At 39.4% G+C, this 15270-nt stretch overlaps 1 protein-coding gene and 1 long non-coding RNA gene across 8 annotated transcripts in view; one reads left to right on the forward strand and one right to left on the reverse strand.

Moving 5' to 3' along the window:
• Positions 1–15270, reverse strand: part of IL20RB-AS1 (IL20RB antisense RNA 1) — a 36206-nt gene that overhangs the window by 5950 nt on the left and 14986 nt on the right. Inside the window, exon 2 of one of the 3 annotated variants that reach the window (NR_183727.1) lies at positions 7330–7617. The exons of 1 other annotated variant lie outside the window; for it this stretch is intronic. This is a non-coding gene — a long non-coding RNA (IL20RB antisense RNA 1). Of the gene's footprint in view, positions 1–2795; positions 2857–7329; positions 7618–15270 lie in introns of all 3 variants that reach the window. One more of the 3 variants, NR_183729.1, reaches the window with a different exon arrangement.
• IL20RB (interleukin 20 receptor subunit beta) overlaps positions 6048–15270 on the forward strand; it is a 53103-nt gene continuing 43880 nt past the window's right edge. For 2 of the 5 annotated variants that reach the window (XM_011512911.3, NM_144717.4), the window contains exon 1: positions 6048–6266. Coding sequence is in view for 2 of the 5 variants with exons in the window: in NM_144717.4 (NP_653318.2) it covers positions 6179–6266 (88 nt within the window). In the remaining 3 variants the exon portion in view is untranslated. Of the gene's footprint in view, positions 6267–7578; positions 7746–8514; positions 9637–15270 lie in introns of those variants that run through there. The other 3 variants (XM_011512910.4, XM_017006632.1, XM_006713665.5) reach the window with 3 other exon arrangements.

Genomic DNA, 15270 nt, shown 5'->3' on the forward strand with positions numbered 1-15270 from the left:
CAGCTGCTATGTCCTTCATGTACTTTTTCCCCTTAATGCATTGAATCTGATTTGGTTGGGTATGACAATAATTACCCAATTTGTATAATTAACTTTCACACTCCCAACCCTTATCCCCCTAGTTGAGATCTCCAGATGCAGTTTACTCTCCCTGTTTTTCCTATAACATGGAAAGTTTTGGGTTTGGAATCTGGAAATTACCATTTTTTTCAGAAACACTCAGTTACATTGTCCAAATCAAGAAATGAGGAGTGTGGCATTACAGTACTCCCTAAGTTTTCCATTTTAATACTTTGCTAGAAGATAAGGGGTCCTTTATAATCTTGCATTTATATAGAACTTTTAACTTTCCAAATGGCTTCACAATCAAGGTCACTTTTTTTCTTAAAGGACTTTTGATATAGTATAGATGCTATCTTATGTTTTGAACACTACTGTTTTTTAAAGAATGCCAAATTACTGTTTCTGGAGAAACACATTATTAGAAGCATTGGCTTGCTACTCGATTCTGATAGGCTGGTTCTGTTAGTGTTTAGCAAGTTTTTGTGACTCAATTCTCTGCTATCTTTTAAACACTTGACAGACCAGCATGATATGCATGCCCCCACACCCTAATTTCTTGCTGTAACATGACCTAAACCAAATGACTTAGGAACTGAAATGTTTATTTCTAGTTTACTAATGAGGTGCACCTTGTATCTGAAAGCATACATAGTTTGCTGAGATATGTTTAATGAGTAGAACCTAGGTTAGGCTTGGTGGGGTTTTGAACAGAGGAGGAGTTTGAGCTATCAGCCACCTTGTTCACAGAGGGAAGTGTTCTAAATTAGTGTCTTTGAGAATATTTCCTGGCGGGTTAAAAGTAGATTTCTAAGGTAGTTGCTTTAAATAAATTTCTGTGCTCAGATAATTTATATCTTTAGACTGTGGAGAAATCTTTCAGATAGCCTTCATGAAATTACTGAGACAAAAAGGTGAATTCCAGAATGAGACTGTTAAGTGTTGTCTATTTTAGGCTAAACACAGGAATGGTTATTAAATTGATATTTTTTGAGTACTTTTGAAGGAAACAGTAATCATTGAGTAAGGATGGCTTCTCTAGGAGAAGTAATGTCAAACTTGATGTTTTCTAGACTTAATAGGCAAGGGGGATGTTACAGAGAACAAATTCATCAAGGCATATGATGATGTCAAGATGCAAATATTTTTTTTAATTGTTACATCTCTATATGATTTTATGTTTAAATAGCTTTTGGAGATACTCGTAATCAATTTATCCAACCAACTCACCTCAAATATTTTATTGCTGAGCTGAGACTGTTCTAGCAATGTAACAGTGAAGAAAATGGACAGAGTTTTTATAAAACTTATATTTTAGTGATGTGATACGTAACGGAGAAGAGCTCTGAATTAAAATAGAACAGATTTGAGGGTTGAAGAGTGAGGGTGAGGGTGTTAATTTATATAGGATGATAAAAAGAGGCCTCTGATAAAATTGACCTTTGAGTATACTGTGTGCTCCACTTAATAGAATCACTGATGACTACGAACGACCAGTGACTGAATAAAATACAGCAACCAAAATCATTTGAAAACTATGTGGAACTTCACTATTACAGAGCATTGTTTCTGGTTTTCAGATTTTTAATTTGACTAAAATGGTATTTTATCGAAATGTGGAACATTTAACTACAGAAGGCTATTCTGAATAAACCCTGATTCTCCATTTTAAGAGGAGTTTTTTGGGGGGATGTCAGGTAGAAAAAGATAACTACAGGAAGAGGACAGTTTGGCCGACTTAAGGGTTCTAATTGAGCACACTCTAAGGAAACCCTGGAGGTTAAATTCCTGATGACCAGACAAACATTTGGGAGGAAATTGAAAAACTGAAGTATTTCAGAAGTGAAAAAGGAATGCAGGAGCCCTGAAAATTAGATTCTAAAAACGTGTAGAAATTCTACCTGGGGCCGGGCACAGTGACTCAGGCCTGTAATCCCAGCACTTTGGGAGGCCGAGGCGGGGGGATCACATGAGGTCGGGAGTTCAAGACCAGCCTGACCAATGTGGAGAAACACCGTCTGTACTAAAAATACAAAATTAGCCAGGCGTGGTGGCACATGCTTGTAATCCCAGCTACTGGGGAGGCTGAGGCAGGAGAATCGCTTGAACCCGGGAGGTGGAGGTTGCGGTGAGCCAAGATCACGCCATTGCACTCCAGCCTGGGCAACAAGAGCGAAACTCCATCTAAAAAAAAAAAAAAAAATTCCACCCGGAACAGTCTTGGTGGAAGCATGAATTAGAAGAGTCTAAGACAAGTGGAATTCCGCTATTTAAATTCCCTGTGTTACTTCTAAAAAGAAAAAATAGAGACACAGTGAAATCCAACTAAATGTCAGAAGTGCTACAAGACAGAACATAGATATCTAAGAATCTTAATGCAAAGGGAAGGAACTATTTTGTGTTAAGTAGGGGAAAGGAAGATTACTGGACTGTAATAATTGACCACATAGTTCATTCAAGGACACAGGGCCTATCCTGGACTTGCACAACCCTAAGAGTGAGTGCCTCAGATTTTGCGCCCTAGGTGCTTCCCTTAATTTTAGTCCTGGCCCTGCAGGGCACAGAGAGCTTAGGGTTCTCTTCCTTGGCCACAAAACTTCCCATCCCTCCCCACTGCCTCTACCTTTTCATAAAACCTTTTCTCTGCTTGCTTTTCCTTCCATAATTAAATATCAGAGATTTAAGTGGCAAATAGTGTAATCGAAAAAAAAATCCTATTTCTGAACTGTACCTACCTATAGGAAATTGGTCTATTCTTCCAGCGGTTTATCTTCTGACATGGATGACCCTCCAACTCTGTGGAAGGCACCAGAAATTAACTTGAGAAGTGCAGGAAACAGGATAGAGAATAGTTTCGTTGTGCATGTTGCATAGACAAGACATTACAACTTCTCTTTCTATAGAGGGGCACCTCAAAGCCAGAAGAGAAAGGCAAAATCAGGGTCAGGGATTATCCAGGAATGTTAGGGGCTAGCAGGTGAGGCACAGCCCTCCAGAAGTCCTCACCCAAAGATACAGCCCAGGCAGAGGTGGGTGGTCTGAGTTACTTGTTGGGTCATGACCCAGGCTTGAAACGGATTATTGTTCAAAAAATATGACAGGCAGATGGCATTATCTCTCAGTGCCCCTTGAGGTGTGCTGAACCCAGGGCAGACTCTGTGCAATGGCTTATGAAGGATTGGCAGGCAGTACTGTCTTGCCAGAGCATTGTAGTGCTGGACAGGAGTGTCTTGACAGGGACCAATGAGCAGGTGGAGCTAACTAGCCATCGTAACACTTCAAAGTTTGGTAAACAACTCTTCTTCTCCGACAGCATAGCTAAATGATTCTTATTCTTTCCTCCATTTTCTCTGTTTACTTTCATTTTCATCTTCTTAATTCAGTCTGTATTCCCCTCTACCTTTCCATCTTTGCTCATATCATTCTCCCAAAAGGAATGATGAACAGTGTGCCTCTCTTCCCCTCCTACCCATATCCAATTGGTACATCCGGAACCTCATATTGAGGTCTACCTATTCCCTAAAGCCTTTGCTGATCTCTTGGATCACTCCTTTGTGTCCCTCAGACACATTCCTTTGATGCTAACTGGGAGGCAGTTAAAGTGAGTGAAAAAAGCTTGGAGTTATGCAGACCTCAGTTAGAATTCCTGTTTCCATCCCTGAATAGCTCTGTGATCTACAGTAAGTTAATTTCCCTGAGCCCTGTGTTCTCACCTGAAAAGTGGAGAATCAAATCATATCTTACCTTGCAAGTCTGTTGTATAATATATGGACATGTATATAGTGTGTAGAAACCCTTTAGGACATTCTTGGCAGATAATAGATATCCAGTACACATTGGCTTATATTGCTAACTTTTGACATGCTGGAACTGTGAGCAGAAGCGAACTTAGGAGAGAGGAATCAGGAAGCCAAGATGGAGAACAAAGGTAACATTGGGGACAGACGTTGAGGCCATGTATGAAGCACTCTTAAGAGGAGCAGTGAGAGACTGTACAAGCAGCTAGTGACCAGAGGTCAAAGTACAGATGTGGCCACTGACTCACAGTGCTGGAATCAAGGAAAATATGCACCAGGTTTTCTTGACTATGGTGTGGTAAAAAGATATACAGCAATGTTTATTGTATACTTATTTTGTGCCAGATCCTGTTCTAAGTTTCACTTAATCCTCACAACAGCCCTGAGTCAGACACTATTATAATTGTTCCCAATTTTCAGATGAGAACCATAAAGCAGATAGTTTAAATGACTTGCCTAAAGAAACACAACTAAAAAGTTGACACCAATCAACCTGAGACAAAGATTATTTATATACTAGAGACTCCCCTGCCCATATAAGCATCTAAGCTCAAATTTCGCAAGCTGAACATTTGCAGCCTTTTTCTATAGCACCCCCAATCCTGCCTGTCCTGACCACACTCCACCCACTTCATTATTTCACTTGAGGTGCTGCCATCCACCCAGTTACCCAAACTCAGAACCTGAAAGCCATGTTTGGCTCCTCCTCCCCAGCCCTCTTAATGCACTCAATATCCAGGAGCTATCAGTTCTATCTTCTTTATCTTTTGAATTTGGTCATTTCTCTCTGCAGACATGAGAAACCTAGTGGAAGCCAACAATGTCTGTCACCTGGATCACTACCATAGCTCCCTCATGGCCCTCCTGCCTTCAATCTGGCCCCCTGTGCTGTTTTCTCCACCCTAGTCACAAACTTTTTAAAGCTCAAATGCAGGGAATGACATGGTCATATTTGAGCTTTGAACCCTTCCTTTGACCTTCATTCCTCTCAGGATAAATTCCAAGCTCCTCAATAAGGCATTCAAAACTCTCTAGAATCCTGTTTCTGTCTGCCACTAAGCCCTATTTCTCGCCATTTCAACCTTGTTCTCGTGTTGCACCAAACTTCTTCTTGCTTCCTAAAAACAACATTCCTGGCTGATTTTTTTTTTTTTTTTCCAGAGTTTAACACCCAGTCCTGGAGTCACCTCCTCCAGGAAGCTTTCTGTAATCCTACAAACTGGGTTAGATGTTTCTTTTTAGTGATGCTATGTTTCCTTACGAATATTGCTGTCCCTTCATTTTAAAAATTGACTTATGATTATTCCCGTGTCTATCTTCTCCACTAGTTGGGAAATTCTTGTTGAGGGAATGGACTGTTGAATTCCTAAGAACTAGCACATAGTAGGCCTTCAGTGAAGGTTTCTTGAATGAATAAATAAATGACCAACTTTCCCAAGGTTACATTGTAAGTTCTGAAACTTGAACCAAAATACATTATACTCTAGAACCCATGTTTATTCCACTATTGTATTTGCACATTAGGGTGGTTAAAGTCCTTCAAGGGCTAAATTTTAAAGGGCTAAATACTATCACAAGGTTTTTCTTCCACCTATTGAAATTGGTTTTAATTTTTCAGTAATACATTCACGTGACTCAGTAATCAAACGATATACAAAGATATTCAGTCAAAAGTCTTGTTCCCATTTTTCTCTTCCACCTTTCCAATTCCCACTTTCTCTGCCCCAAGGTAACCAATCTTGTTCATTTCTTATATCTTCTTTTAGTTTTTCTTTTTGCAAATGCATGCAAATATGAAGCTATATATTATTCTTTACCCTCCTGACTTTTAGAAGGGTATTTTAAATTTTTTCAAATATCTTTAGTTTTTCTGAAGTGGGTACATATTAGAAAAAAGAGCTAGTCAGTACCCAGCTTGAATGAACTCACAGAGAGAAACTTGGAAGAGGACAGCTATTTAATGAGGGAGGGAGATAATCCTGCCTGCTCATTGGCTTTTAGGGAGGTGCAGAGTCCTTTAGGACAGAGCCTGTGGTCCGGGTATTGCTCATAGGCAGATTCTCAAGCTCCCCAAAGTTACATTTTCTCTGGAACTCTCCTAGGCCACTCCCTGCTGATGCAACATCTGGGTTTGGGCAGAAAGGAGGGTGCTTCGGAGCCCGCCCTTTCTGAGCTTCCTGGGCCGGCTCTAGAACAATTCAGGCTTCGCTGCGACTCAGACCTCAGCTCCAACATATGCATTCTGAAGAAAGATGGCTGAGATGGACAGAATGCTTTATTTTGGAAAGAAACAATGTTCTAGGTCAAACTGAGTCTACCAAATGCAGACTTTCACAATGGTTCTAGAAGAAATCTGGACAAGTCTTTTCATGTGGTTTTTCTACGCATTGATTCCATGTTTGCTCACAGGTAAGTATGAATTAGAATACATCCAATAGTTTGGGCCTTGAATATAGGTTAAGAAGGCAAAAAATACTTTCCCAGGGCCTGGGGTTGAAATATGTGTATAGAATATCGTATATCTGTTTTACAAAAGATTTATCACCTCCTAAACCTCTATTCCCACATCCCAAAGAAAAGGCCTGCATTCTGTTTGGAAATCTCTCTTCTTAATGTCCACACAACAATCTAGAAAGAGAAATCATCAAAATAAATAAAAGCAGAGCTCTGTGCACTTTGTTACTTATCTCATCGTCTGGTTTTATATAGTGCAATGTAGTTCTTTCAGACTTACTGTGTGTGTCTTGGAGATGTTAACTGTAAGAACAAATTAAAACAAAGATTCTAGCAAAATACACATGAATAAAAAGACAATTTGTGAGCTTAACATTGGATACGAGACTTATAAAAATTGGATTTCTCTACTGGTCATTGAAGAAAAGGTACTCCATAGCATTCTAAAAAATATTTGGTTTGGGACATTTCCCCTGCCAGTGAGATTACATAGTTTTCTCTGCTCCACTCCTGGTTGCTTGTACCTATCTGCTTTATTGTCTTAAAATTGGAACTCTGTAGCCTTTGATGTTTGTTCATGTCAAATCACGTTTAAGAGAAACTTCTAATTTTGATACTCCAAGACACTAGGCACTTTGCAGTGTTGATGGGAGCCTTGAGTACTTTCTCTCTCTCTCTCTCTCTCTGTCTCTCTGTCTCACTCTCTGTGTGTGTGTGTGTGTTTTACACAGAACTAATTTAATTATTCTAGTTAGTTTACATCAGGTAACAAATCAGTACTAAGACAATTTGCAAAGGTGTAGAACTGGCTTAAACATCAAATTTATGGTGTTCTTTCCTAGCTTAAAAACCTTCACAGCTCCCAGTTGTTCAGCACATGGTGTCCAAATTCTGTTGTCTCTCATCACCCAGCATATTCAGGCCCCACCCTATATTTATTTAACCCTATTTCTCACTACTCCTTGAAAACGAATATGGACTACAAGCAGCTGCTGGCTTAACAGTCAGCATATTATACCTTCATTTCCTCCTCCTGGCCTTTATTGTTATAATTTCCCACCAGAAGCAGCATCTTCAGTATTTCCTTCTACGTCTTTCCAAGACCTCTCTTTGACCCCAGGTACTTTAGCTTCAGGTGGTTACTTCTCTTTCCAGCACTGACCTGGAGGGCCAGGGCCTGGGCATCTTTTCTGCTGTCCCCACATCTCCTAGCACAGGCTAAGCATGCTGGTTGTTTGGTTAGTTAGTTGTTGGTTATTTAGTTGTTGGAACAGAAATGTTGCCAAGAAAACATCCGTCCACTAAGCTGAAACGAGAAGATGGGAGGCTGAATGAGAAGAGGAAAGCCCAGCATTTTTCGACTTGACATTTTCTTCAATGACGCCCGTCTTATAAGTATTTTCTTGAAAACTCCTGTTTTAAATAGATCTGGAGGTGAGTGTGCACTTCTGACGCTTATAAACTTACATAGAAAACACACACACACCAAAAAAACCTCAGTGGTGAAATCACAAGGATGTCATAGCCAGAAAGACCTGTGTGTGAGTTTTGGCTCTGTTACTCACTAGCTCAGGACTCAATCATGTAACGTCAGTTTCCCTTCCTGTGAAATGGTCATAATAGCCACTTTGAGGTTATGAGGGGTTAAATAAGATGACACAAACAAAAGCGCTTTGAAGACTTCAACATTTCCCCACCCTCAAATGTTAGTTATTATTATCTGTTGGTTATACAGATGGTGGTATCAGTAGATAATTGCTTTAGCTGAGGTTGTCTTTATGCAGTTTTGACCATTTCCTCTGGATTGTGTAGGTGCCTGTGATGAATTCTGCAAATTCTAAATGAACTTCTATTAGTTACTAGATCACTGGGCAGATGGGTAGAGTTGTGGCTTTTTTTTTTTTTTTTTTTTTTTTTTTTTTGACCGAGTCTCGTTCTGTCGCCAGGCTGGAGTGCAGTGGCGCAATCTTGGCTCACTGCAATCTCCACCACCCAGGTTCAAGCGATTCTCCTGCCTCAGCCTCCTGAGTAGCTGGGACTACAGGCACACGCCACCACGCCCAGCTAATTTTTGTATTTTTAGTAAAGATGAGGTTTCACCATGTTGCCCAGGATGGTCTCGATCTCTTGACCTTGTGATTTGCCCGCCTCGGCCTCCCAAAGTGCTGGGATTACAGGCATGAGCCACCACATCCGGCCATGGCTGTCTTTCATAGAAATCATTTGCCTTGTCCTGTCCCTCCCAAATAATAGTGTGTGATTCAGAAAGCTGATTATGCTACCAATAGTAATAATCACAATGACAATCACAACTGCTATTTCTGAGTACACATTGTGCCTTCAGTTAGCAAAAATGTTATCTTGACTTCTCACATGAATCCTGCAAGTTAGGTGTTATCCCCATTCCACACATTAGGGATAGAGACTAGGAGAGGTTCAGTTATTTGTCCAAGTACCTATATCTAGTAAGTGCAGGAATTGGGATTTGATGATGGTTTGGTCTGCTCCAGAGCCTGTGCCCTTTATATATCTCTGCAGAAAAAGCTGAGACATTAAAACAAGGTAGAAGAAGGGAGGAGGGACAAAGGAAAGGAAATAAAGAAGATGGTGCTACCTTTTCTAATGCATTAGCCTTAAAGGCTGATAGAGGTAAAGGTGGCAGAAGAGGATCCAAATAAAGGGAGTGGACATCAGGCCCACTGAGCGTCCTTCAGAGAAGAGATGCAAAGATTTTTGCCTGGAAAGGTTGCCCCAGGGCTTTTTGGTGGGTAGCCTTCATGCTACTTCCCTTGGACTGACTCACTCAAGGTTTTACGAAATAGGTGTTCAGCAGCAGAAAGGGTCTAATTTAAAGACGAATGAGGGATTAAGAAAAGAGTTAGACCTAGGCTAATTTCCCCAAGGAAGCCAAAGCTTAATTTACTTGTTTAACTTTCATTCTTTTAACACCATTTATGTACCAGGTTCTGGGATGTGTGCTAGTTAGAGAGATTTTAAAAACTTGTCTTCAGGGAGCCTAAGAGCCTGCTGGGAAGTACACTAAAGTCTTTGGCATGTGGGAATTTAACAAAATTTTAACTATTCTTTAGCCACCAGAAGTAAAGTCTAGATTTGTGGTTCCCAACCTCAAATGCACATTGGAATCACCTGGGGAACTTTTTAAAAGCTAAATTCCGTGACTTCACAGCTAGAGATTCTGAGTTAATCTAGGGTGCTGTCTGGATGTTGGGACTTTTTCAAAACAATGTGGGTGGGGCTCCTTAGAGAAGTGATTGATTCCAGGGCTGGGCAGGGAAAAAACAAGATGAGACAAGAGCATTTTGTGGTAAGTAATGAAGTGATTAAAAAAGGATGAGGGCCTAAGTTAACAATTAACATAGTATCCTGGATTGGAGCCTGGGATGGAAGAAAGAACTGAGTGGAAAAACTAGTGAAATTCAAATAAAGTCTGGAGTTTAGTTAATGATAATGTGCCAGTACTGGCTTTTTAGTTTTGACAAATGTATTATGGTTACATAAGATGTTAGCATTCAGGGAAGTTGGGTGAAGGATGTATAGGAATGCTGTGTACTATCTCTGCAATTATTCTGTAAATCTAAAATTATTCCAAAAATTTAAAAATCTATTAATAAAAATAACATGAGTAAAACGGGTGGGAACAAGTTAAAAGGGCACAGGCAGCTTGAAAGTGTTCCCATTGGCCAAAAGCTAGAACAATTTGAATAATAAAATAACAATAGTGTTGGACTTTACAGAATAAATTAAAATATCCATGAGTCCATACCACTAAAAATAAATAATTGAATAAATAAATGGTGGAGAAGGAACAGCTCTTCCTAACAAAAGAATACAATTAAATAAAATATCACTACTAGAACATCACAGCAATAATTATTACAAGAAATATCCATCAGTAGATGTTAAAATTAATAGGTGAAAGTTTGAGGAGGAATGGAATATTTGCACAGTCTCAAAGTATCTCCCCCAAGGTATTTATTAACTACACAGGGGAAAATGGTAGCTTTACAGTAGAGACACTTTCTTAACCAAGTGATCAGGGTGGTTAACATCACCAGTAATAAGACGTATTGATATCATGTACTCCCTGTGAGTGTCTGGAAAAAATGTGTAACCTCAATCAAATCACGTGAAAATATCAGACAAAACCAAACTGAGATACGTTCTACAAAACAACTGGCCAGTACTTCTAAAAAATGTCAAGGTCGGCCAGGCGTGGTGGCTCATGCCTGTAATCCCAGCACTTTGGGAGGCCAGGGCAGGTGGATCACGAGGTCAGGAGATCGAGACCATCCTGGCCAACATGGTGAAACCCCGTCTTTACTAAAAATACAAAAATTAGCCAAGTATGGTGGTGGGCGCCTGTAGTCCCAGCTACTTGGGAGGCTGAGGCAGGAGAATCGCTTGAACCTGGGAGGCAGAGGTTGCAGCGAGCCGAGATTGCACCACTGCACTCCAGTCTGGCAACAGAGCAAGACTCCATCTCAAAAAAAAAACAAAAAACTCAAGGTCATTAAAAAAGACAAAGACAGACTGAAAACAGTTTGGAGGAGACTAACTAGACATGACAGCTAAATGAAAATCCTGAATTGGATTTTGGCCAAAAAAAAAAAAAAAAAAAGCATTAGGGGAAAAACTGATGAAATCTGATTAAATACTGAAGCTTAGTTAATAATATTGCATTAATATTAATATCTTAATTTTTTATAATTGTGCTATGGTTATGTACATATGGAGGGCTGAGTGAAGAGTATATGAGAGCTCTCTGTATTATTTTGCAACTCTTCTGAAAGTCTGAAATTATTTCAAAATACAGTTAATCTGTTCATCATATCACTGGGCTAACATCAAGGTATGGGCAGGACTACATTCCTTCTGGAGGTTTTAGAGAATCTGTTTCCCCCTTCCATGGTATGAATGTACTACAGTTTATCTAACCATTCACCTGTTGAAGGACATCTGGGCCGATTCCAGCTTGACTGTGAATATTTGTGTGCAGGTCTTATGTGATGTAAAGTTTTCATTTCTCTGAGATAAATGCTGAAGAGTGTAATTGCTAGATCATATAGTAACTACATGTTTAGTTTTACAAGAAACTGCCAAACTATTTTGAAAAAGAGTATCATTTTACATTCCTACCAACAATGTATAAGTGATCCACTTGTTCTGTATCCTTGCCAGCATTTAGTTTTGTAACTTTGAAAACTTTTAGCCATTCTGATAACTGTGTAATGCTATCTCATTGTGATTTTAATTTGGATTTCCCTAATAGCTAATAGTGTGCTTATTTGCCATCTATATATCCTCTTTGGTGAAATGTCTATTCATGTCCTTTGCCTATTTTTAGATTGGATTGTTTGATTTTTCTACTGCTGAGTTTTGAGAGTTTTTTATGTGTTCTAGATACTAGTTCTTTTTTTTTTTTTTTATTTTTTTTTTTTATTATACTCTAAGTTTTAGGGTACATGTGCACATTGTGCAGGTTAGTTACATATGTATACATGTGCCATGCTGGTGCGCTGCACCCACTAACGTGTCATCTAGCATTAGGTATATCTCCTAATGCTATCCCTCCCCCCTCCCCCGACCCCACCACAGTCCCCAGAGTGTGATATTCCCCTTCCTGTGTCCATGTGATCTCATTGTTCAATTCCCACCTATGAGTGAGAATATGCGGTGTTTGGTTTTTTGTTCTTGCGATAGTTTACTGAGAATGATGGTTTCCAATTTCATCCATGTCCCTACAAAGGACATGAACTCATCATTTTTTATGGCTGCATAGTATTCCATGGTGTATATTTGCCACATTTTCTTAATCCAGTCTATCATTGTTGGACATTTGGGTTGGTTCCAAGTCTTTGCTATTGTGAATAGTGCCGCAATAAACATACGTGTGCATGTGTCTTTATAGCAGCATGATTTATAGTCCTTTGGGTATATACCCAGTAATGGGATGGCTGGGTCAAATGGTATTTCTAGTTCTAGATCCCTGAGGAATCGCCACACTGACTTCCACAATGGTTGAACTAGTTTACAGTCCCACCAACAGTGTAAAAGTGTTCCTATTTCTCCACATCCTCTCCAACACCTGTTGTTTCCTGACTTTTTAATGATTGCCGTTCTAACTGGTGTGAGATGATATCTCATAGTGGTTTTGATTTGCATTTCTCTGATGGCCAGTGATGATGAGCATTTCTTCATGTGTTTTTTGGCTGCATAAATGTCTTCTTTTGAGAAGTGTCTGTTCATGTCCTTCGCCCACTTTTTGATGGGGTTGTTTGTTTTTTTCTTGTAAATTTGTTTGAGTTCATTGTAGATTCTGGATATTAGCCCTTTGTCAGATGAGTAGGTTGCGAAAATTTTCTCCCATTCTGTAGGTTGCCTGTTCACTCTGATGGTAGTTTCTTTGGCTGTGCAGAAGCTCTTTAGTTTAATTAGATCCCATTTGTCAATTTTGGCTTTTGTTGCCATTGCTTTTGGTGTTTTGGACATGAAGTCCTTGCCCACGCCTATGTCCTGAATGGTAATGCCTAGGTTTTCTTCTAGGGTTTTTATGGTTTTAGGTCTAACGTTTAAATCTTTAATCCATCTTGAATTGATTTTTGTATAAGGTGTAAGGAAGGGATCCAGTTTCAGCTTTCTACATATGGCTAGCCAGTTTTCCCAGCACCATTTATTAAATAGGGAATCCTTTCCCCATTGCTTGTTTTTCTCAGGTTTGTCAAAGATCAGATAGTTGTAGATATGCGGCATTATTTCTGAGGGCTCTGTTCTGTTCCATTGATCTATATCTCTGTTTTGGTACCAGTACCATGCTGTTTTGGTTACTGTAGCCTTGTAGTATAGTTTGAAGTCAGGTAGTGTGATGCCTCCAGCTTTGTTCTTTTGGCTTAGGATTGACTTGGCGATGCAGGCTCTTTTTTGGTTCCATATGAACTTTAAAGTAGTTTTTTCCAATTCTGTGAAGAAAGTCATTGGTAGCTTGATGGGGATGGCATTGAATCTGTAAATTACCTTGGGCAGTATGGCCATTTTCACGATATTGATTCTTCCTACCCATGAGCATGGAATGTTCTTCCATTTGTTTGTGTCCTCTTTTATTTCCTTGAGCAGTGGTTTGTAGTTCTCCTTGAAGAGGTCCTTCACATCCCTTGTAAGTTGGATTCCTAGGTATTTTATTCTCTTTGAAGCAATTGTGAATGGGAGTTCACTCATGATTTGGCTCTCTGTTTGTCTGTTGTTGGTGTATAAGAATGCTTGTGATTTTTGTACATTGATTTTGTATCCTGAGACTTTGCTGAAGTTGCTTATCAGCTTAAGGAGATTTTGGGCTGAGACGATGGGGTTTTCTAGATAAACAATCATGTCGTCTGCAAACAGGGACAATTTGACTTCCTCTTTTCCTAATTGAATACCCTTTATTTCCTTCTCCTGCCTGATTGCCCTGGCCAGAACTTCCAACACTATGTTGAATAGGAGCGGTGAGAGAGGGCATCCCTGTCTTGTGCCAGTTTTCAAAGGGAATGCTTCCAGTTTTTGCCCATTCAGTATGATATTGGCTGTGGGTTTGTCATAGATAGCTCTTATTATTTTGAAATACGTCCCATCAATACCTAATTTATTGAGAATTTTTAGCATGAAGGGTTGTTGAATTTTGTCAAAGGCTTTTTCTGCATCTATTGAGATAATCATGTGGTTTTTGTCTTTGGCTCTGTTTATATGCTGGATTACATTTATTGATTTGCGTATATTGAACCAGCCTTGCATCCCAGGGATGAAGCCCACTTGATCATGGTGGATAAGCTTTTTGATGTGCTGCTGGATTCGGTTTGCCAGTATTTTATTGAGGATTTTTGCATCAATGTTCATCAAGGATATAGGTCTAAGATTCTCTTTTTTTGTTGTGTCTCTGCCTGGTTTTGGTATCAGAATGATGCTGGCCTCATAAAATGAGTTAGGGAGGATTCCCTCTTTTTCTATTGATTGGAATAGTTTCAGAAGGAATGGTACCAGTTCCTCCTTGTACCTCTGGTAGAATTCGGCTGTGAATCCATCTGGTCCTGGACTCTTTTTGGTTGGTAAACTATTGATTATTGCCACAATTTCGGAGCCTGTTATTGGTCTATTCAGAGATTCAACTTCTTCCTGGTTTAGTCTTGGGAGAGTGTATGTGTCGAGGAATGTATCCATTTCTTCTAGATTTTCTAGTTTATTTGCGTAGAGGTGTTTGTAGTATTCTCTGATGGTAGTTTGTATTTCTGTGTTATCGGTGGTGATATCCCCTTTATCATTTTTTATTGTGTCTATTTGATTCTTTTCTCTTTTTTTCTTTATTAGTCTTGCTAGCGGTCTATCAATTTTGTTGATCCTTTCAAAAAACCAGCTCCTGGATTCATTGATTTTTTGAAGGGTTTTTTGTGTCTCTATTTCCTTCAGTTCTGCTCTGATTTTAGTTATTTCTTGCCTTCTGCTAGCTTTTGAATGTGTTTGCTCTTGCTTTTCTAGTTCTTTTAATTGTGATGTTAGGGTGTCAATTTTGGATCTTTCCTGCTTTCTCTTCTGGGCATTTAGTGCTATAAATTTCCCTCTACACACTGCTTTGAATGCGTCCCAGAGATTCTGGTATGTGGTGTCTTTGTTCTCGTTGGTTTCAAAGAACATCTTTATTTCTGCCTTCATTTCGTTATGTACCCAGTAGTCATTCAGGAGCAGGTTGTTCAGTTTCCATGTAGTTGAGCGGCTTTGAGTGAGATTCTTAATCCTGAGTTCTAGTTTGATTGCACTGTGGTCTGAGAGATAGTTTGTTATAATTTCTGTTCTTTTACATTTGCTGAGGAGAGCTTTACTTCCAACTATGTGGTCAATTTTGGAATAGGTGTGGTGTGGTGCTGAAAAAAATGTATATTCTGTTGATTTGGGGTGGAGAGTTCTGTAGATTTCT

The sequence above is a fragment of the Homo sapiens genome, chromosome 3 (assembly GCF_000001405.40).
Source record: "Homo sapiens chromosome 3, GRCh38.p14 Primary Assembly".
NCBI lineage: Eukaryota > Metazoa > Chordata > Mammalia > Primates > Hominidae > Homo > Homo sapiens.